This window comes from Homo sapiens, chromosome 9 (assembly GCF_000001405.40).
Source record: "Homo sapiens chromosome 9, GRCh38.p14 Primary Assembly".
Taxonomy (NCBI): domain Eukaryota; kingdom Metazoa; phylum Chordata; class Mammalia; order Primates; family Hominidae; genus Homo; species Homo sapiens.
Window position 1 is genome coordinate 131,544,348 of NC_000009.12, and position 21,354 is coordinate 131,565,701.

The window sequence follows — 21,354 nt, forward strand, 5'->3', positions numbered from 1 at the left end:
CAGGCCCAGGGCTACAACTCCCAGGAAGATTTTTATTTCCAGAATCCAGGCTGGGTCACACCAGCTTCCTTGTCACCCTTTTGGGCCACAGGCAGATTTTGTTTTCTGTTCATTTCTCTTCATCCCAACTCCCTGCTTCCCAGACCCAAGGCTTCACCTCCTGTCCACATCTGGATGGAAAAATCAAGCCCTAGACTCTGAGACCAAAGCCCCCAGGGCTGCTGCATACTTCCTGGGCATATCTGTCCCTCCCTCTTCATTGCTGGTCCCTGAGGATTCTCTTGGCTACGTGGGAGCTCAGCTATGAACATACAAGGCTGCCTGGCATGCTGGTGTCCTGTCTCTAGCATTTCCACGTGGTTGGATTGGGACCTGCCTCAGATTCTCCAGTCTGGCACATTTCAGAGAACAGAAGTCCCACACAAATGATTTTTAAAAGTCAAGATATTTCGTCCGGGAGCAGTGGCTCACGCCTGTAATTCCGGCACTTTGGGAGGCCAAGGCGGGCGGATCACGAGGTCAGGAGATCGAGACCATCCTGGATAACATGGTGAAACCCTGTCTCTACTAAAAATACAAAAAAAAAAAAAAAAAAAAAAATTAGCCAGGTGTGGTGGCGGGGCCTGTGATCCCAGTTACTCGGGAGGCTGAGGCAAGAGAATCGCTTGAACTCGGGAGGCAGAGGTTTCAGTGAGCTGAGATGGCGCCACTGAACTCCAGCCTGGGCAAAAGAGGGAGACTCTGCCTTAAAACAAAACAAAAACAGAAAAGAGAGATTTCACATAAAAACCTACGTTTCTGGCTTCTGTTGCTGGAAAATTAAAAGAAAGCTAGAGACACCATGACTCTCGTCTGTGCAGCTCACATCCGTCCGGCTGTGGTGTCCAGTTGCCCAGGTCCCCACCACTCCTCTTTGTCTCATGCTGACTCGCTGGCCTTGCGGGCACTCTCGTGTGCCACCCTGCCTTCTCTAGTCCGGCGTGGCTGACTCGCCCTCCTACCCCAACCCCTCCAGCCCTGCACAGCGCCGCGGAGTCTCCACCGAGCCCGTCCTACCCAGGCAGGCAGGGAGGCAGGTCCGGCCGAGCGCAGGGCGCCAGGGAGCGACTGTTGTTGACCCAGCCTTGGGCAAACAAGGCGGTCAATTATTAACCGGCCGCACGGCAGGCACCAGGAAACCTGAGCCCGCGGCGCAAGCGGAGCCGGCCCGACGGCAGGCGCCGGGCCAGGGAGCCGCGCAGCCCTTGCAGCCGCCGCGGGCTCGGACCATGGAGGCAGGAGCTGGAGGGGCAGGTGCCGGAGGGGCAGGTGCTGGTGGGACAGGTACTGGCGGGGCAGGTACTGGCGGGGCAGGTACTGGCGAGGCAGGTACTGGAGGGGCAGGTACTGGCGGGGCAGGTGCTGGCGGGGCAGGTGCTGGCGGAGCGGGTGCTGGAGGGGGTGTAAGGGGTAGATACCAGAGGGTCGGCTGCTGGAGGGGCAGGTGCTGGTGGGGCGGGTGCTGGAGGGGGTTTAGCGGGTAGATAACTGCGGGCCATGTTCTGGAGGGTCAGGGATCGGCAGGGCGGGCCCAGGCCCGGGGCTGTGGTGCCCCGGAGGCCGGCGGTAGCAAGATGGGGGAGAATGCCCGGCCCAGGACACCCCATCCGGAGCCAGGGTGGGGAGAGCCAGGAAGCTGCTGTGGAAAGTTCAGGAGCTCTGGGGGCGCCCCTGCGGGCAAGCCAGGGAGGGGGCAGCGGCGGTTCATTCTCTGAGCATTTTGCCCACTCCCGCCCCGTGTCCCGCCTCTGGCAGCTCAGCTCACCGCCCCGGCCAGGCTGAAGTCCTTGCAGCAGGGGAGTGGGCGACCCTGGCCAGGGCGGGGTGGAGACAGAGCCTGCAGTAGGGAGCACGACCTGGGAAGAGACCCCACGGGCTAATTCGGGGACGGAGAGCTGGAGACAGGGACCGAGAGAGGTGGGGTGGGGGCAGAGCTGGAGAGAGGCGCGGACGCGGGTGGGATCCGGCCAAGGCTGCGACCAACTCGACGTCGCCCACCCCCAGGCGTCAGGCGCTGGAAGGGGCGGGGGGCAAGGAACCGAGACCTCGTCCTTGCCCTGGGGAGTCTCTGGCTGGCTGGAAGCAGTGGGGCGGTGGCAGTGGGACCCCTGCAGAGTCTCGCGCACTCCCCGCCCCCTCATCCCCCAGCGCGACTGATCTTGAGAGCCCGGGGATGGGGCGCACCAGTCCCATCTGCAAGCAGCTCCGGGAGATGCTGGAGCGCTGGCCCCTCCCCGCCGCCCCGCCCTCCAGGACTCCCCCCCAGACCCTCAAGCACTTGCCCAGCGGGGAGCCCGGACCCCCCTTCCCAGCTGGAATGCCTGGCGGAGGCTCCGGTGTCAAGAGCCTGAGAACCTGAGAACCCACCCGAGGCCCCCGCCAGGCAGCGCCGCCAGCAGATTTATTTACTCTGGGGCCCTATCTCCGCGCCATCGGGCCAGATATTTGCCCTGGCGGGATCCAGGGAAACTGCGGTTTTTGTTATGATAGCTGGGGCAGGGACACCATCCCGGAGAGACCTGTTTAGAGTGGAGAGCTGACTCGCTGAGACCCACGTTTCTTGCTGGGAGTCTCGGTTCCCTCATTAGTAAAATGGGGAGCATAAAAACAAAAGCGCGCCCGAGATGACGCGGGTTACGAAGCAAAAGCTCTCAGAGCAGAGCCTGGCCTCCTGTTCGCTTTTTTTTTTTTTTTTTTTTTTTTGAGACTGAGTCTCGTTCTATTGCCCAGGCTGGAGTGCAGTGGCACAATCTCGGCTCACTGCAACCTCCTTTTCCCAGGTTCAAGGGATTCTCCCTCCCAAGTAGCTAGGATTACAGGCGCCCAATGTCAGGCCTCCGAGCCAAAGCTAAGCCATCATATCCCCTGTGAACTGCATGTACACATCCAGATGGCGGGTTCCTGCCTTAACTGATGACATTCCACCACAAAAGAAGTGGAAATGGCCTGTTCCTGCCTTAACTGATGACATTACCTTGTGAAATTCCTTCTCCTGGCTCATCCTGGCTCAAAAGCTCCCTCACTGAGCACCTTGTGACTCCCACCCCTGCCCACCAGAAAAGAACCCCCTTTGACTGTAATTTTCCTTTACCTACGCAAATCCTATAAAACGGCCCCACCCCATGTCCCTTCGCTGACTCTTTTCGGACTCAGCCTACCTGCACCCAGGTGATTCAAAAGCTTTATTGCTCACACAAAGCCTGTTTGGTGGTCTCTTCACACGGACGCGAGTGAAATTTGGTGCCGTGACTCAGATCGGGGGACCTCCCTTGGGAGATCAATCCCCTGTCCTCCTGCTCTTTGCTCCGTGAGAAAGATCCACCTACGACCTCGGGTCCTCAGACCAACCAGCCCAAGGAACATCTCACCAATTTTAAATCCAGTAAGCGGCCTCTCTTTACTCTCTTCTCCAACCTCCCTCACTATCCCTCAACCTCGTTCTCCTTTCAGTCTTGGTGCCACACTTCAATCTCTCCCTTCTCTTAATTTCAGTTCCTTTCCTTTTCTGGTAGAGACAAAGGAGATGCGTTTTATCTGTGGACCCAAAACTCTGGCACCGGTCACGGACTTGGGAAGACCGTCTTCCCTTGGTGTTTAATCATTGCGGGGACTCCTGCCTGATTATACACCCACAATCCATTGGTATCTGATCTCCGTGGGGACGCCTGCCTTGGTCATTCACCCACATTCCCTTGGTGGCAAGTCAATTGCGGGGATGCCTGCTTTGGCTGCTCACCCACATTGCAGCCAGGGCTGCTCACCCAACCCATTCTCTCTGTGTCTCTACCCTCTCTTCTCTCCACTTTCCTGGGGGGACAAGCATCCCCCACCCCTTCTCCACTTTCCTGGGGGGCAAGCATCCCCCACCCCTTCTCTCCGTATCTCTACCCTTCTTTTTAAACTTGTCTCCTTCACTATGGGCAACCTTCCACCCTCTATTCCTCCTTCTTCTCCCTTAGCCTGTGTTCTCAAGAACTTAAAACCTCTTTAACTCTCGCCTGACCTAAAATCTAAGTGTCTTATTTTCTTCTGCAACACCGCTTGACCCCAATACAAACTCGACAGTGGTTCCAAATAGCCAGAACACGGCACTTTCGATTTTTCCATCCTACAAAATCTAGATAATTCTTGTCGTAAAATGGGCAACCGGTCTGAGGTGCCTGACATCCAGGCATTCTTTTACACATCGGTCCCTCCCTAGTCTCTGTTCCCAATGCAACTTGTCCCAAATCTTCCTTCTTTCCTTCCCGCCTGTCCCCTCAGTCCCAACCCCAAGCGTCACTGAGTCTTTTGAATCTTCCTTTTCTACAGACCCATCTGACCTCTCCCCTCCTCCCCAGGCTGCTCTGCGCCAGGCTGAGCTAGGTCCGAATTCTTCCTCAGCCTCCATTTCCCCACCCTATAATCCTTTTATCACCTTCCCTCCTCACACCCGGTCTGGCTTACAGTTTAATTCTGCGACTAGCCCTCCCCCACCTGCCCAGCAATTTCCTCTTAAAAAGGTGGCTGGAGCTAAAGGCATAGTCAAGGTTAATGCTCCCTTTTCTTTATCCGACCTCTCCCAAATCAGTTAGTGTTTAGGCTCTTTTTCATCAAATATGAAAAAGCCAGCCCAGTTCATGGCTGTTTGGCAGCAACTGTGAGATGCTTTACAGCCCTAGACCCTAAAAGGTCAAAAGGCCATCTTATTCTCAATATACATTTTATTACCCAATCCGCTCCCGACATTAAATAAACCCCCCAAATTAAATTCCGGCCCTCAAACCCCACAACAGGACTTAATTAACCTTGCCTTCAAGGTGTACAATAATAGAGTAGAGGCAGCCAAGTAGCAGTGTATTTCCGAGTTGCAATTCCTTGCCTCCACTGTGAGATAAACCCCAACCACATCTCCAGGACACAAGAACTTCAAACGCCTGAACCGCAGCTGCCAGGCATTCCTCCAGAACCTCTTCCCCCAGGAGCTTGCTACGAGTGTTGGAAATCTGGCCACTGGGCCGAGGAATGCCCCCAGCCCGGGATTCCTCCTAAGCCATGTCCCATCTGTGCGGGACCCCACTGAAAATTGGACTGTTCAACTCACCTGGCAGCCACTCCCAGAGCCCCTGGAACTCTGGCCCAAGGCTGTCTCACTGACTCCTTCCCAGATCTTCTTGGCTTAGTGGCTGAAGACTCACGCTGCCCGATCGCCTCAGAAGCCCCCTAGACCATCACGGATGCTGAGCTTCGGGTAACTCTCACAGTGGAGGGTAAGTCCGTCCCCTTCTTAATCAATACGGAGGCTACCCACTCCACATTACCTTCAAGGGCCTGTTTCCTTTGCCTCCATAACTGTTGTAGGTATTGACAGCCAGGCTTCTAAACCTCTTAAAACTCCCCAACTCTGCCAACTTGGACAACATTCTTTTATGCACTCTTTTTTAGTTATCCCCACATGCCCAGTTCCCTTATTAGGCCGAGACATTTTAACCAAATTATCTGCATTTCAACTAAATTATCTGCTTCCCTGACTATTCCTGGACTACAGCCACATCTCATTGCCGCCCTTCTTCCCAACCCAAAGCCTCCTTTGTGTCTCCCTCTTGTATCTCCCCACCTTAATCCACAAGTATATCATGCACCCCTTACCATCCTATTAAAACTTAATCACCCTTACCCTGCTCAATGCCAATATCCCATCCCACAGCACGCTTTAAAAGGATTAAAGCCTGTTATCACTCGCCTGCTACAGCATGGGCTTCTAAAGCCTACAAACTCCCCTTACAATTCCCCCATTTTACCTGTCCGAAAACCAGGCAAGCCTCACAGGCTAGTTCAGGATCTGCGCCTTATCATCCAAATTGTTTTGTCTATCCACCCCGTGATGCCAAACCCATATACTCTCCTATCCTCAATACCTCCCTCCACAACCCATTATTCTGTTCTGGATCTCAAACATGCTTTCTTTACTATTCCTTTGCACCCTTCATCCCAGCCTCTCTTTGCTTTCACTTGGACTGACCCTGACACCCATCAGGCTCAGCAAATTACGTGCGCTGTACTGCCACAAGGCTTCACAGACAGCCCCCATTACTTCAGTCAAGCCCAAATTTCTTCCTCATCTGTTACCTATCTCGGCATAATTCTCATGAAAACACACGTGCTCTCTCCCTGCTGATCGTGTGCAGCTAATCTCCCAAACCCCAATCCCTTCTATAAAACAACAACTCCTTTCCTTCCTAGGCATGGTCAGTGCAGTCAGAATTCTTATGCAAGAGTCGGGACTGCGCCCCGTAGCCTTTCTGTCCAAACAACTTGACCTTACTGTTTTAGCTTATCCCTCATGTCTGCGTGCAGCAGCTGCCGCTGCTTTAATACTTTTAGAGGCCCTCAGAATAACAAACTATGCTCAACTCCCTCTCTAATCTTTTCTGGCAGGGCTATGCTGAACCTCCTTGGGCACTCAATTCTGTCCTGGGTCCTCCCAATTCTTAGTCATTTAATACCTGTTTTTTTTCTTCTCTTATTCGGACCTTGTGTCTTCCGTTTAGTTTTTCTTTTTCTTTTCTTTTTCTTTTTTTTTTTTTTTTTTTTTGAGACAGAGTCTCACTGTGTTTCCCAGGCTGGAGTGCAGTGGCGCGATCTCGGCTCACTGCAAGCTCTGCCTCCCGGGTTCACGCCATTCTTCTGCCTCAGCCTCCCGAGTAGCTGGGACTACAGGCACCCGCCACCATGCTCCGCTAATTTTTTGTATTTTTAGTAGAGACGGGGTTACACCGTGTTAGCCAGGATGGTCTCAATCTCCTGACCTCATGATCCACCCGCTTCAGCCTCCCAAAATGCTGGGATTACGGGTGTGAGCCACCGCGCCCGACCTGCGTTTAGTTTTTCAATTCATACAAAACCGCATCCAGGCCATCACCAATCATTCTATACGACAAATGCTCCTTCTAACAACCCCACAATATCACCTCTTACCACAAAATCTTCCTTCAGCTTAATCTCTCCCACTCTAGGTTCCCACGCCGCCCCTAATCTCGCTTGAAGCAGCCCTGAGAAACATCGCCCATTATCTCTCCATACCACCCCCAAAAAATTTTCGCTGCCCCAACACTTCAACATTATTTTGTTTTATTTTTCTAATTAATATAAGAAGACAGGAATGTCAGGCCTCTGAGCCAAAGCTAAGCCATCATATCCCCTGTGACCTGCATGTACACATCCAGGTGGCCGGTTCCTGCCTTAACTGATGACATTCCACCACAAAAGAAGTGAAAATGGCCTGTTCCTGCCTTAACTGATGACATTACCTTGTGAAATTCCTTCTCCTGGCTCATCCTGGCTCAAAAGCTCCCCCACTGAGCACCTTGTGACCCCCACTCCTGCCCACCAGAGAACAACCCCCTTTGACTGTAATTTTCCTTTACCTACGCAAATCCTATAAGACGGCCCACCCCATCTCCCTTCGCTGACTCTCTTTTTGGACTCAGCCTGCCTGCACCCAGGTGATTCAAAAGCTTTATTGCTCACACAAAGCCTGTTTGGTGGTCTCTTCACACGGACACGAGTGAAACCCGCCACCACACCTGGCTAATTTTTGTATTTTTAGTAGAGACGAGGTGTCACTGTGTTGGCCAGGCTGGTCTGGAACTCCTGACCTCAACTGACCCACCCGCCTCGGCCTCCCAAACTGCTGGGATTACCGGAGTGAGCCACCGCATCCAGCCATGTTCGCCTCTCTAAAAATGATTATTACTGTGATTTATCTTCACTTTACAGATGAGGAAATGGAGGCATGGAAAGTTTGTCACATGCCACTTCCCCCTTTTAGAGAGGACAAGGTCTCACTCTGTAGTCCAGGCTGGAGTGCAGTGGTTCAATCACAGCTCACTGCCCCCTCCTGTGAGGAGGCCACAATGTCTGGCCAAGTGTGTTTACCTTGACCTCATGGAGCATGGTTATAATGGCTGCTTTTTCTGAAAATTCCAATATCAGGTCATCTCAGGGTTGGCATCTGCTGAGTGTCTTTTCCTTTGAGCATTGGTCACTGTATGGCGAACAGTCTTGGATTGTGTCCTGGACATTGTGAATAGTATGTTGTGTAGATTCTTGGTCCTGTTACAATTCCCTGGAGAAGGTGGGTTTGTTTGGTTTCAGGAGGCAGTCAGCCTGCGTAGTTTCAGGCCAGAAGTTCTGTTTCACCTTCTATGAGTGGCATTTCCAAACTTGGGTCAGTTTTCAGAGTTTTTTTTTAGGCTGGTCTGGGTTTGTCTCCTGCACATGCAGTTTGGGGGGGAGCCCAACCTCTAAGGTTTTTTTTTTTTTGAGACGGAGTCTCACTCTGTAGCCCAAGCTGTAGTGCAGCGGTGTGATCTCGGCTCACTGCAACCTTCACCTCTGGGGCTTGAGCAATTCTCCTGCCTCAGCCTCCCAAGTAGCCGGGACTAGACACTTGTGCTGCCACACCTGGTTAATTTTTTTTTTTTTTTTTTTGTATTTTTAGCGAGACGGGGTTTCATCATGTTGCCCTGGGTGGTCTCGAACTGCTGAGCTCAGATGATCCACCTGCCTCGGCCTCCCAAAGTGCTGGGATTATAGGCGTGAGCCATTGTGCCTGGCCATTCTCTAAGTTTTGACTCCACTCCGCAACCTCCCTGCTTTTGTTTGTCTTTCAGTGACCTCAGATGCTTCCTTTTTGTATTTTGTCTAGACTTTTCAGTTGTCATCAGCTGGAAAGACATGCTTTTAAAAAATGGTGCTAAATATGTATAACATACGATTTACCACTTGAACCACTTCTAAGTGTGCGATTCAGTGGCATTAAGAACACTCACATTGTTGTGCAGGCATCACCACTATCCATCTCTGGGACGCTTTCTCATCTTCCCAAACAGAAACTCTACACCCTTGAAACACTAACTCCCCAGCCCCAGCCCCTGTTAACCTGGAGAGAAAGGTTTTTAAAGCTTCTGCTTACAAAATGTTTGTCAATGTGCCATTGTGCAAAGCACGTCACATGGTCAAGCCCAGATCCAAGGGGTGGAGAAACAGAGGGAACATCACAGGTAAAGGTGTGGAGGTATAAACAGCGTGGCAGGTGTATGGGGTGCAGGGGCCATGAGTGAGCCCCTAGCTGCTGGGAGGGGGTTGAGGCAGGACACGCCCAGGGGCTCATCATTCCCTGCCATTGGGATCACTCTGGCAAGGATCCCTGCCTCCACCCGTGGGGGACTTCAGGAAGGGTCCTCCCACCCCCACTGAGATGTCTGTGTGATGTCTGTTTCACTCATCCCTCTGCCTTTTATAACCCTTAAGGACACTTAGGAAATGGACCTCCAAAGCCAGACCCCTGGCTCTGGGCTGCCCACTTCTGCAGTGAGGCCTGAATGCCCACGCAGGTCAGGGGAGGCCACTCTGCGATTCTCTTCCAGGGCCTTCCTTGTACCCTTGCCTGAGGCCCTCTGGTGCTCAGCTGGTCGGGATGCTCTCAGGAGGTGCAGCCTTAAGAATTTGTTGGGACCTGACCAGGCACCACCAGGACCTATCGTTGGGTGCTGAAGGCCAGGGCCTGGGTCGGGAGCAAGGCAGCTGGGCAGCTTTGAGGCTCTGAGCCCTGGCTTCAAGCTGCTGGGCCCTGTATATTCTGGTGTCCATTCTCAGTGTGCATATGGCCCTTAGTGACCTCCTGGCTCCACCATGTTACTCTAGCTACAGTTTGGCAGCTCCTGGGCACCTCACCCCTCCCCTACAACTCCAAGCCAAGAATCTAATTGGTTCAGCTCATCTCCTCAGGTAGGCGTCCCCTTCATTGGAGGTGTATCTCAGGACAGCCAATCAGGGGCTTCCCTGGGCGGATTATCCTTTTCTGGTCCAATTAGCTTTGACATAAAGGCCTTAGTTGGGGGTGAAACTACCTCCCAATAGAGGCCATCTGCCAAGGAAAGGGGGTGGGACAGTGCGGGGAGGGGCGGGGTCAGCAGCCTGGGTTCCCACCCAGATGAGTCGCTCAGTCTGTGTGACTCCAGCAAGGCAGGTGGCCCCTCTGGGCCTGTTTTTTAGTCCCTTTGCGTCACGATCCTATGAGGCCCAGCTGCAGAGGGCTGGGAGCTTGGTTCGTGGGAACTGCGGGACCAGCGACGTCCCACCTAGCCCGGCGGCCTCTTGCTCACGACCGCTGCCATTTCTTTCTAGGGTCCGACACGAAAGGGGGCGGCAGCCCCGCCACCCCCGAGGACCCCCGGAGCCCCGCGAAGCCCGCCGCCCCCGAGGATCCCCAGATGCCCGCGCAGCCCGCGCTCCCGCAGCTCCCGCGCCGCCCGCGGACCCTGGACGAGGACGGGGCGCCCAGCGAGGACGGGGCCGCGGGGGGCAGCGAGCCCGCCCCGGAGGACGCCCCGGCCCAGGCGGCGGGCGAGGCCGGGCCGGTTTCCAAGGCGGCGGCCGGCGGCGCCCCCCACATCGGCTTCGTTGGGGAGCCCCCGCCCTACGCGCCGCCGGACCCCAAGGCCGCGCCGCTGCTGTACCCGCCCTTCCCGCAGGTGCCCGTGGTCCTGCAGCCCGCGCCGTCTGCGCTCTTCCCGCCGCCCGCCCAGCTCTACCCAGCCGCGCCCACGCCGCCCGCGCTCTTCTCGCCGCCCGCCGGGGCCGCCTTCCCCTTCCCCGTGGTGAGTGGCCGCCGCCCTGGGCGCGCTCCCCTCCGTGCTGTCTGCGCGTGGTCGGGGGCGCCCGTGCGGAGGCCGATAGGTCACTTCTGTCCCTGGGGGCGGGCGAGTCCGGGAGGCTCCCTGGAGGTGGGGGCATTTGAGCGGGGTTTTGGAGGATGAATAGGAGGGCTAAGGCAAAGAGAACGACGGGCGCCCTGGACAGAGGACACCGCACAGGCGTGGAGGGGCCGAGACTGGGCGTTCTGGGGATGGTGGAGGCTTGTTTGGCTTGGTAGGGAGGGCAGGAAGGTGGAACCCGTGGGGAGGGACCCCAGAAACTTTGGGCAGGAGGTGACTTGATTAGATTTTCTTTAAAAACAAAACAGTCCGGGCACGGTGCCTCATACCTGTAATCCCAGCACTTTGGGAGGCCAAGACAGGCAGATGGCTTGGGCTTAGGAGTTCCAGACCAGCCTAGGCAACATAGTGAGCCCTCATCTCTACTAAACGTAAAAAAATTAGCCGGGCATGGTAGTGCGCGCCTGTAGCCCCAGCTATTCTTGAGGCTGAGGCAGGAGGATTGCTTGAGCCAGGGAGGTTGAGGCTGCAGTGAGACGAGATCACACCATTGCACTCCGGGCTGAGTGATAGAGCAAGCCTCTGCCTCCAAAATAAAAACAAAAATAAAAATAAAAATAAAAATAAACAAAAGCCCTGGGCTGCCTGTGGGGGAAAGATTGGAGGCCCCCCAGGGAGGGGTGGCGAGCCCAGTGAGGACGATAGAGATATCACAGAGGCTGGACCCTCGACTGAGCCAATGGTAGAGGGCAGGACTGAGGGCTCAGTGGGACTGAGGGCTCAGCGGGGCTGAGTGGCCAGGGGTGCAAGAGGGAGAGGGCAGAGGGGCACCCTGACCCAACCCCTCCGTGAATTGCAGCCTCAGTGGGTGGGGACTTGGGGGACTGAGTGAGAGAGCTTGCATGGCCTGGCTGGCCTTCTCACTCACTCTGTTGTCCAGAGGCTGGGCCAGCTCCCTCACCACTGTGGCTCTGCCCCCACAGTACAATGGCCCGATGGCTGGCGTGCCAGGCCCTGCCACGGTGGAGCACAGGCCCCTGCCAAAGGACTACATGATGGAGTCAGTGCTGGTGACCCTCTTCTGCTGTCTGCTCACCGGTCTCATCGCCATCGTCTACTCCCACGAGGTAGGTGCGGGGGCGGCCCTGGGCACAGCCTCTCCTAGCACGCAGCCACTGGCGCCCCAGTGGGTCCACAGAGCCCCTCTTCCAGCAACACGGTCTCTGGTGTCTCTCCCTCTGGAGGGGGGTGGGAATTGGGAAGTCAGAGCCCAGTTGTTTGTGGGATCCTTGCTCCTCCTGTCTCTGCCCCCAACTATTCAAAATGTGCTGTGGAATGTTTGGCCAAAACAATTCACGGTAAAGCTGTGAATGACTGATAAGACCCAATGTGCTGCCCATTCCAGTGGAGGCTTGTGTTTTAAAGGGGGTACAATCTGCTCATTCATTCCTATGCTCATCTCATCTATCCATCCACCCCATCTCTCCATCTCTGTAGCTACCCATCTATTCACCCACCCATTTATCCATCCACCCACCCATCCACCATCTCTCTCTTTTTTTTTGATACAGAGTCTTGCTCTGTTGCCAGGCTGGAGTGCAATGGCGTGATCTCGGCTCACTGCAACCTCCACCCTCTGGGTTCAAGTGATTCTCCTGCCTCAGCCTCCCGAATAGCTGGGATTACAGACGCCCACCACCATGCCCAGCTAATTTTTTGTATTTTTAGTAGAGATGAGGTTTCGCCATGTTGGCCAGGCTGGTCTTGAACTCCTGACCTCAGGTGATCCACTTGCCTCAGCCTCCCAAAGTGCTGGGATTACAGACGTGAGCCACTGTGCCTGGCCCATCCACCATCTCTCTAGCCTCCATCCATCCATCATCCATCCATCATCCATCTACCATCCATCTACTATCCATCTACCATCTTCCATCCACTCACCCCACTATTCATCCATCTGCCTACTCACCCACCCACCAATCCCTACCCATCCATCCATCCCTCTATTCATCCATCCATCTACTCATCCATACACCCACCTACCACCCATTATCTCTCTACTCTCCATCCATCCATCCACTCACCCATCCCTCTATCGATTCATCTATTTATTAGGCCCTTGGGATTCAAAGATGCCAATGTGATGACACTCTAATAGAGACAGAAGCAGGGCTGGGCATGGTGGCTCACAAATGTAACCCCAGCATTTTGGGAGGCCAAGGTGGGTGGGTCACCTGAGGTCAGGAGTTCGAGATCAGCCTGACCAATATGGTGAAACCCCGTCTCTACTAAAAATACAAAAATTAGCCGGGCATGGGGGCAGGCACCTTAGTCCCAGCTACTCAGGAGGCTGAGACAGGAGAATCACTTGAATCCAGGAGGTGAAGGTTGCAGTGAGCTGAGATCGCACCACTGCACTCTAGCCTGTGAGACGGAGCAAGACTCTGTCTCAAGAAAAAAACAAACAAAAGCAGGCAAGGCTCTGGGGGGCCTATGCTCAAGGCTGACCTGGACTCAGCCCTGGCTTGACTCTGCTGTTCAAGCCCCCAGCCATAAGCAGAAGGCAGCTCTCAGGACAACTCAGAGGTGGGACTTGAGAGGTTGCTGCCTGCTGGTGAATTCTGGCTCCACCATTAGTGTTGTGACCCTGGATAGGTCACTTAACTTCTCTGAGCCTTTGTTTCCATATCTGCAAAGTGGGGTCAGCCTCAGGGCTGCTGCAAGGATGGTAGAGGTTGAAGCTGAGGGCAACTGTCAGTGCTGAGCGTGACAAGCGCCTGATGGCTGGCGGCCGCCACTGCCATCACGCCTGCCCCCTTTCGAGCTGTGGGCCTGGCAGGTCCCTGACCTTTTCAGCATGTCAGTTTCTCAGTTTGTGGAACTGGGCCTAGCCCTCAATCGCACTGGGAGGGAGTGGGGGCTCCCTGTTCGCTCCCACCGCCCCCTCCTGCCCTGTCTCGTTGCAGGCCCGTGCAGCACTGGGCAGGGGTGACCTGGCCCAGGCTGAGGAGGCCTCGCGGAAGGCCCGCTCGCTGGTGCTCTTCAGCCTGCTCTTCGGGGTCTTCGTGTCTACCAGCTGGGTCATCTACGTGGTGGTGGCACTCTACCTTCCCTGAGGCTGTGGCTCCTGCGGAGATGCCGGATGCCGGAATGTCCACGGAAAACTGGCCGGGCCAGACCCTTTCTCTGGACTCAGATCCCTGCCGGTGGCCAGCTCTTGCCTGCAGAGGGAATCTGGGGGCCAGAAGAGGGCAGGCTTGGCAGCCCTCAACTGACTTGTGGCTGGGCCTCAGCCTCCTCAGCCTCCACAGGTGGCCCACTGGAGCCTCAGTCAGTGTCCTAATCCAAGGTGTCTCCAGAGCCCGGCCCCAGCCGTGGGACAGGAGCCCACCAGAGCCCCATTTCCCAGGAGCCTCCTCTCAAGGCCTTCCTGGGACTCCTCTTGCCTTCATCTGTGCTCTTGGGAGGCCATCGTAGGGACCAAAGCCTTCTCTGTCTTCAGAGCCATCTGGAAGGACACTGCAACCTCCGCCCCCCGCCCAACCTCCAGCCCAGCTTAGGCGATCAGGATGCCAGTATTACCTTTCCCTGCGGGAGAGTGGAGCATGGTGACTTCTGGCTGGTTGTTCCCCTATCCCTTCCCCATCCCAGGAGACAGGGTCCCTCATGCTGACCCTACATCCAGAAACCAGGGCCACTCTGTCTGGTCAATCAACAGAAAGTGACACATCCGTGCGGAGCTTCACACTGCTACTTTGGGGACACTTCCTGGCTCTCTTCCAGGGCCAATGGCAACATCTGTCCACAGTTGGGCTCCAGGGCACCCTACCCACTCCTCTCTGAGATGCTGTTGGCATAGAGGCAGTGCTGGCAAGAACTACCCAATGACAGAGGATCAGCTGGGTGCTCGTTTGATGAGGACCGCCCTGACTGGGGAGCACTTGCACCAAGATCCCTCGGCCAGCCTGTAGAACCGTACCTATGACTCTGGCATCAGATTCCTGGCACCCCAGTCCCACTAGCTGTGGTCCCAAGAATGAACCTGCATTTTAACAAGATTCAAAACCATTGCAGAGGCCAGGCGAGGTGGCTCACACCTGTAATCCCAGCAGTTTGGGAGGCCGAGGTGGGTGGATCACCTGAGTCAGGAGTTCAAGACCAACCTGGCCAACATGGCGAAGTCCTGTCTCTACTAAAAATACAAAAATTAGCCGAGTGTAGTGGCAGGCGCCTGTAATCCTAGCTACTCGGGAGGCTGAGGCAGGAGAATTGCTTGAATCCGGGAGGCAGAAGTTGCAGTGAGCTGATTGTGCCACTGCACTCCAGCCTGGGTGACAGAGTGAGACTCTGCCTCAAAAACAAACAACCATTGCAGACAGAGGAGGAAGGGGACCCCCAGCTGAGCCACACAATATTGATAGCTCAAGCTAAATCAGTTGGTTTCAGAGCAGCCTCGGTGTGCTGCTTACAACCCTGGCACCAGGGGCTGAAACAGGAGAATGGCCCAGCCCAGCCCAGTCCCTCCTCCAGAAAGCTGGAGAGGCAGGCATGAGGAAGTAAGTCATGAGCAGCCTGGAGACTCTGTGGATTTTTGTTCAGTAAGCAGGGCCTGAGGTTCTGCATTTCTAATAAGCTTCCCAGTGATGCTGAAGCTGGTACTCAAACCAATAGCAAAGTGGGAAATTATCAAAACTACTAAAAGGCATTAAAACCAGGATCATGACATGGATGCCCCCTGGTGTCTCTATTATTTGACATTGTTGTGAAGTTCCAGCTAATGCAAAAAATAAAAAAGTGAAATTTGTAGTATGAAAACTAGAAGAGACAAAAAATTATTACCTAGCTAGACTATCCAAGAGTCAATTAAAAACATGGAACTAGTAAGATAACTCAGTAAAGTGGTTGGATACAAAATAAATATACAAAAGCAATAGTAATAACCAGGTACACTTGGAAAAAATTTAAAATTCAACTTATGATAGTGATAACAACAGTAAAATTTAGGAATAACTTAACAAAAGATCTGGAGACCAAATTAAGAAAATTATTTTAAAAAACTACCAAAAGGCCAGGTGCAGTGGCTCATACCTGTAATCCCAGCACTTTGGGAGGCTGAGGCAGGCGGATCACCTGCGGTCAGGAGTTCGAGACCAGCCTAACCAACATGACGAAACATCTCTACTGAGAATACAAAAATTAACCAAGCACGGTGGTGCACACCTGTAATCCCAGCTACTCGGGTGGCTGAGGCAGGAGAATCGCTTGAACTTTGGAGGCAGAGGTTGCAGTAAGCTGAGATTGTGCCACTGCACTCCAGCCTGGCTGACTGTGTGAGACTCCATCTCGAAATACATAAAAAAAAAAAAAAAAGATAAAAAATACCAAAAGACCAAAAATAAACAACAAAATATCCTGGTAGAAGATGTAATATACAAATATCTATTTTTTATAGATATTTTAGATAGAGATTTAATACAATTCTGGCAAGAAAACCAAGCTTTAAATAAATGACAAAGATTATTTTAAAATTAATTTGGAAGGAAAAATATGCGAAGATTGCTAATCTTTTTTTAAGTTGAATGAGAGGAGACTTTCTTCACCAGATATTAAAACTGACCATAAAGCTATAATAATCAAAATGGCATGGCATTGCCACAGAGTTAAATCAGTGAAAAATTATTGAAAATCTAGAAAACATTACCAGTATATGTGGAAAGTTAGCACTTGCTAAAAATGGCATTTTAATTGAGTAAAAGAAGGTTCCTAATAAGCAGAGTTGCTATCTGGTTGGAAAAAATAATTATTCTAATATTGTATGCAAAAATAAATTCAAGATGGATTAAAGAGCTAAGTATAAAATGAAGCTCTAATCATAATAAAGCTTAGGAAAATATGTGTGTAACTTCAGGGTGCTGGGGCAGTATGGAAACGGGAGGCCTCTTAAAATCTAGAAAACCATAGAGGGAAAGATTGATTTATTTGAGTCCTATATATCAGGAACATGCAGATTTAAATCATGAGATATGATTTTTACCCACTGGATTGTGAAAGAATTAGAAAAGGTGAACACATCTAGCGTTGCAGAGGGACTGCTGACTCTCACATTTATTACTAGTGGATATGTATTGCCATAATCTTTGTGGAAAGGAGACTGATGGTATCTGTTACTAATGTATGTATGGGCCAGGCATGGTGGCTCACACCTATAATCCTAGCACTTTGGGAGGCCAAGGTGGGAGGAGTGCTTGAGTCCAGGAGTTTGAGACTAGCCTGGGCAACATGGCAAGATCATCTCTACAGAAAAAAAAAAAAAAAAAAAGGCCAGGTATTGTGGCATGGGCCTGTAGTCCCAGCTACTTGGGAGACTAGAGTGTGAGGATTGCTTGAGCCTGATGTTGAGGCTGCAGTGAGCTGTGATCATGCCACTGCATTCCAGCCTGGGTGACAGAGCAAGACCATGTCTCAAAAAAAAAAAAAAAAAAAAAAAGAGTATGTATGTGAGAGGAATTTAAAATTTTTGCACTTTTAACTGCTTATCACTATTGATTTGCATATTTATTATTTATATACATATAATGTTCTTGTCATGTATGCATGGACATATAACTATGGACATATGCATGCAAAGAATAGAGTCTGAAGGATTTATTCCAAATTGCTGATAGTGGCTGCCTTTGGGTACAGAATATGATGAGGAGGGTTTGTGCAATGCATTGCTGAATTTTAAAATAGGATGTATTGTGAATTTAAAAAATAACAAAAAACATGTACGGCTTTTGACCCAGAAATTCTAGTTTTTGGATTCACAGTCATGAAGAAGGAAAGGTCTGTTTTCCTGGAGCTAGCAGTCCAACATGGGATACAGACATTTAGCAGATAATGTAGCTGCAAACTATTCTAAAGTGCCATGAAGGAGAGGTAGCTCCTGCAAATCTGAAATGTTGAGTGCAACTGAGAAAAAACTGTCATTAAATTAGAGTGCGTCCTGATTTAAGAGATACAAAAATATTTCTTAGAATCATTCAGAGGTGGTTGAGAGAGTGGTGAAAAAGGGCTTTTCTGAGCATAGGTTGTGAGTATATTAACACTAAAAGTAAACGAGATGCTGCCAAACTACATTCCAAAGTGGTTGCATCATTTTGAACTCCCACCAGCAATGAATGAGAGTTCCAGCGGCTCCCCATCCTCATCAGCCCCTGGGATTTGTCAGTCTTTTACGTTTTACCTCTTCTGATATGTGTGTAGTAGTATTTCCGTTTGGTTTTAATTTACATCTCTCTGATGACTAATAATATTTAGGCTTTTATCATGTTTTTTTTTTTTTTTTTTTTTTTTTTTTAATACAGACAAGGGTCTCACTCCATTGCCCCAGGCTGGAGTGCAGTGGCATGTTCACAGTTCACTGTAACCTGGAATTCCTGGGCTTAAGCAATCCTCTTGCTTTGGCCTCCCAAGTAGCTGCGACCACAGGTGTGCACTGCTACATCTGGCTGATTTTTAAATTTTTTTTTAAAGAGACAAGAGTCTATGTTGCCCAGGCTGGTCTTGAACTCCTGGCCTCAAACAATCCTCCTGTCTTGGTCTCCCAAAGCGCTAGGATTACAGGTGTGAGCCACTGCACCTGGCCTAGCCTTTTATCATGTTTACCAGCTATTTGGATATCTCTTTTTACGAGGTGCCTGTTCAAGTTTTGTGCCCATTTTTATGTTTGACTGTCTTTGTTTTAGAGCAGTTCTGTATGTATTTGGGATGAGTCCTACATTAGATACAGTATTGCAAACATCCTTTCTCACTTGGTAGCTTCCCTTTTCACTTTTTTTTTTTTTTTTGAGACAGAGTCTCGCTCTTGTTGCCCAGGTTGGAGTGCAATGGCGTGATCTCTGCTCACTGCAACCTCCGCCTCCCAGGTTCAAGTGATTCTCCGGCCTCAGCCTCCCTCCCTTTTCATTCTTAATGGTATCATCTGATGAAAAGTTCTCAGTTTTGTTTTTTTTTTGAGATGGAGTCTCGCTCTGTCACCCAGGCTGGAGTGCAATGGTGCAATCTCTGCTCACTGCAACGTCCACCTTCCAGGCTCAAGCGATTCTCCTGCCTCAGCCTCCTGAGTAGCTGGGATTACAGGTGCCTGCACCATGCCTGGCTAATTTTTGTATTTTTAGTAGAGACAGGATTTCACCATGTTGGCCAGGATGGTCTTGATCTCTTAACCTCGTGATCCGCCCGCCTTGACCTCCCAAAGTGTTGGAATTACAGGCGTGAGCCACTGTGTCCAGCTGAAAAGTTCTCAGTTTTAAGGTAGTCAAGCTTATCTTTTCCTTTGTAAATAGTATGTGTGTAGGAGTATTTCAGTGGCTTTTGTGGCTTAATAAAATTTCTGTACTCATAGGACATGAAGATGCTCTTATAATGTCTTTTAGATTTAGAAGCTTTATTTTTATTTATTTATTTTTTTTAACTTTTGAGTTGGAGTCTCGCTCTGTCACCCAGGCTGGAATGCAGTGGTGCCATCTCGACTCACTGCAACCTCTACCTCCCAGGTTCAAACGATTCTTCTGCCTCAGCCTCCCAAGTAGCTGGGATTATAGGCGCCTGCCATCATGCCCGGCTAATTTTTATATTTTTAGTAGAGATAGGGTTTCACCATATTGGCCAGGCTGGTCTTGAACTCCTGACCTCAAGTGATCCGCCCACCTCTGCCTCCCAAAGTGCTAGGATTACAGGCGTGAGCAACCGTTGCCTTCCTGTGCCTGGCCTCATTGCTTATTTTCACAGTTAGATCTGCCACCAGCCTAGAATAGGTTCCAGAGCTCTATTATTATTTTTTTTTTTTGAGATGAAGTCTCACTCTGTCACCCAGGCTGGAGTGCAATGGCGTGATCTCAGCTCACTGCAACTTCCACCTCCCGGGTTCAAGAGATTCTCCTGTCTCAGCCTCCAGAGTAAGCTGGGACTACAGGCACGTGCCACCATGCCCAGCTAATTTTTTTGTATTTTTAGTAGAGACGGGGTTCCACTATGTTGGCCAGGCTAGTCTTGAACTCCTGACCTCACGATCTGCCTGCCTTGGCCTCCCCAAAGTGCTGGGATTGCAGGCATGAACCACTGCGCCCAGCCCTGTTTGCCTATTTCTTTGCCACTATCACACTTCATTATGGGGCTATATATATATATATATACACACACACACGCACACACACACACACATATATACACATATATATGTATATACATACACATATATATGTATATATACATATATGTGTGTATATATATATACATGTGTATGTATATACATATATATGTATATTTGACACATTGTCTTTCTCTATTACTAAGGCTGGAGTGCAGTGGTGTGATCACAGCTCACTGCATTCTTAGCCTCCTTGGCTCAAGTGATCCTCCCATCTCAGCCTCCCGAGTAGCTAGGACCACAGGTGTGCACCACCACACCTGGCTATTTTTTTATTTTTCTGTAGAGATGGGGTCTCCCTATGTTGCCCAGCCTTGTTTTTTTTTTAAGATAGGGTGTCAACCAGGTTGGAGTACTGTGGTGTGACTGTACCTCACTGCAGCCCCAAACTCCTGGGCTCAAGGGATTCTCCTGTCTCAGCCTCCCAAGCAGTTGGGATTACAGGCATGAGCCACCACGCCCCAAAATCACTTGTCTTTTTTTTTGAGAAGGAGTCTCACTCTGTTGCCCAGGCTGGAGTTGCCTCAGCCTCCTGAGTAGCTGGGATTACAGGTGTGCTCCACCACACCTGGCTAATTTTTCTATTTTCAGTAGAGACAGGGTTTCACCATGTTGGCCAGGCTGGTCTCAAACTCCTGACCTCATGTGATCCTCCCACCTCAGCCTCCCAAAGTGCTGGGATTACAGGTGTGAGCCACAGTGCTCAGCCCCAAATTCACTTCTTAATTCTGATAATTTATCTGTAGATTCTGTTGGGTTTTCTATACACAATGTTATCTATATATAATGAGTTGTCTTCCTTTTCAATTCTTACCCACCTTGGGTATTTTTCTTGCCTTATTGCACTAGCCGGGACCCCTATTATAATGCCGAATAGGAGTGCTGACAGCAGGCAACCTTGTCATTTTCCCAGTCTCAAAATTAAGGCTTTCAACATTTCATCTTGTTAAAAAAACAGATTTTTTTTTTTCAGGTTAAGTACCCTTCTATTCCTAGTTTACAAAGAGTTTTAAAAAACTATGCATAGATATTGAATTTTATTTTCATGTGTACTGAGAAAATGATCAGATTTAATCCATTAATATGGTAACTTATGTTACCATATTAATTTTCAAATGTTAAAATAGCTTTTCATTCCTGGAATAACTTCATCTTGATGAGGATGTATTATTATACTTTCTGTATTTCACTTTGCTAAAATTTTGTTTAGGATTTTTGCATTGTGTTCATGAGTGAAATTGGACGGTAACTTTCGTTCTTGTTATAGTTTCGGTATCATAGTTACGTTGGTCTCATCAAAAGAGTTGAAAATGTTTCTCATTTTCATTTTTGGAAGTGTTGTATAAGATCTGACATTTTCTTTTCTTCTTTTCCTTTTTTTTTTTTTTTTTTTGAGATGGAGTCTCACTCTGTTTCCTGGGCTAG

The 21,354-nt window shown here is 50.8% G+C and overlaps 1 protein-coding gene across 4 annotated transcripts, besides 1 other annotated feature; it reads left to right on the plus strand.

Annotated features, from left to right (window-relative positions):
* The first annotated feature begins 1,175 nt into the window (after positions 1 to 1,175).
* On the plus strand, positions 1,176 to 15,468 carry PRRT1B (proline rich transmembrane protein 1B). 4 transcript variants are annotated; one of them, NM_001395643.1, is made up of 4 exons: positions 1,176 to 1,293; positions 10,210 to 10,682; positions 11,723 to 11,866; positions 13,706 to 15,468. In NM_001395643.1, exons 1-4 carry the CDS (start codon positions 1,269 to 1,271, stop codon positions 13,853 to 13,855), a joined length of 792 nt encoding a protein of 263 aa, NP_001382572.1. In that variant the 5' UTR covers positions 1,176 to 1,268; the 3' UTR covers positions 13,856 to 15,468. The 4 variants fall into 4 exon arrangements, with proteins under 4 accessions (NP_001382572.1, NP_001352595.1, XP_016870901.1 ...); NM_001365666.1 differs by having other exon boundaries at positions 1,176 to 1,308; positions 13,706 to 14,852; XM_017015412.3 differs by lacking the exon at positions 1,176 to 1,293 and having other exon boundaries at positions 10,009 to 10,682.
* Positions 7,068 to 7,569: an enhancer, noted in NCBI's record as "NANOG hESC enhancer chr9:134426802-134427303 (GRCh37/hg19 assembly coordinates)". NCBI's record gives its function as "activates a minimal SCP1, AML or CMV promoter by ChIP-STARR-seq in primed H9 embryonic stem cells {active_cell/tissue: H9 hESC(primed)}" and the evidence as "EXISTENCE:reporter gene assay evidence [ECO:0000049][PMID:30033119]".
* Positions 15,469 to 21,354: the final 5,886 nt, after the last annotated feature.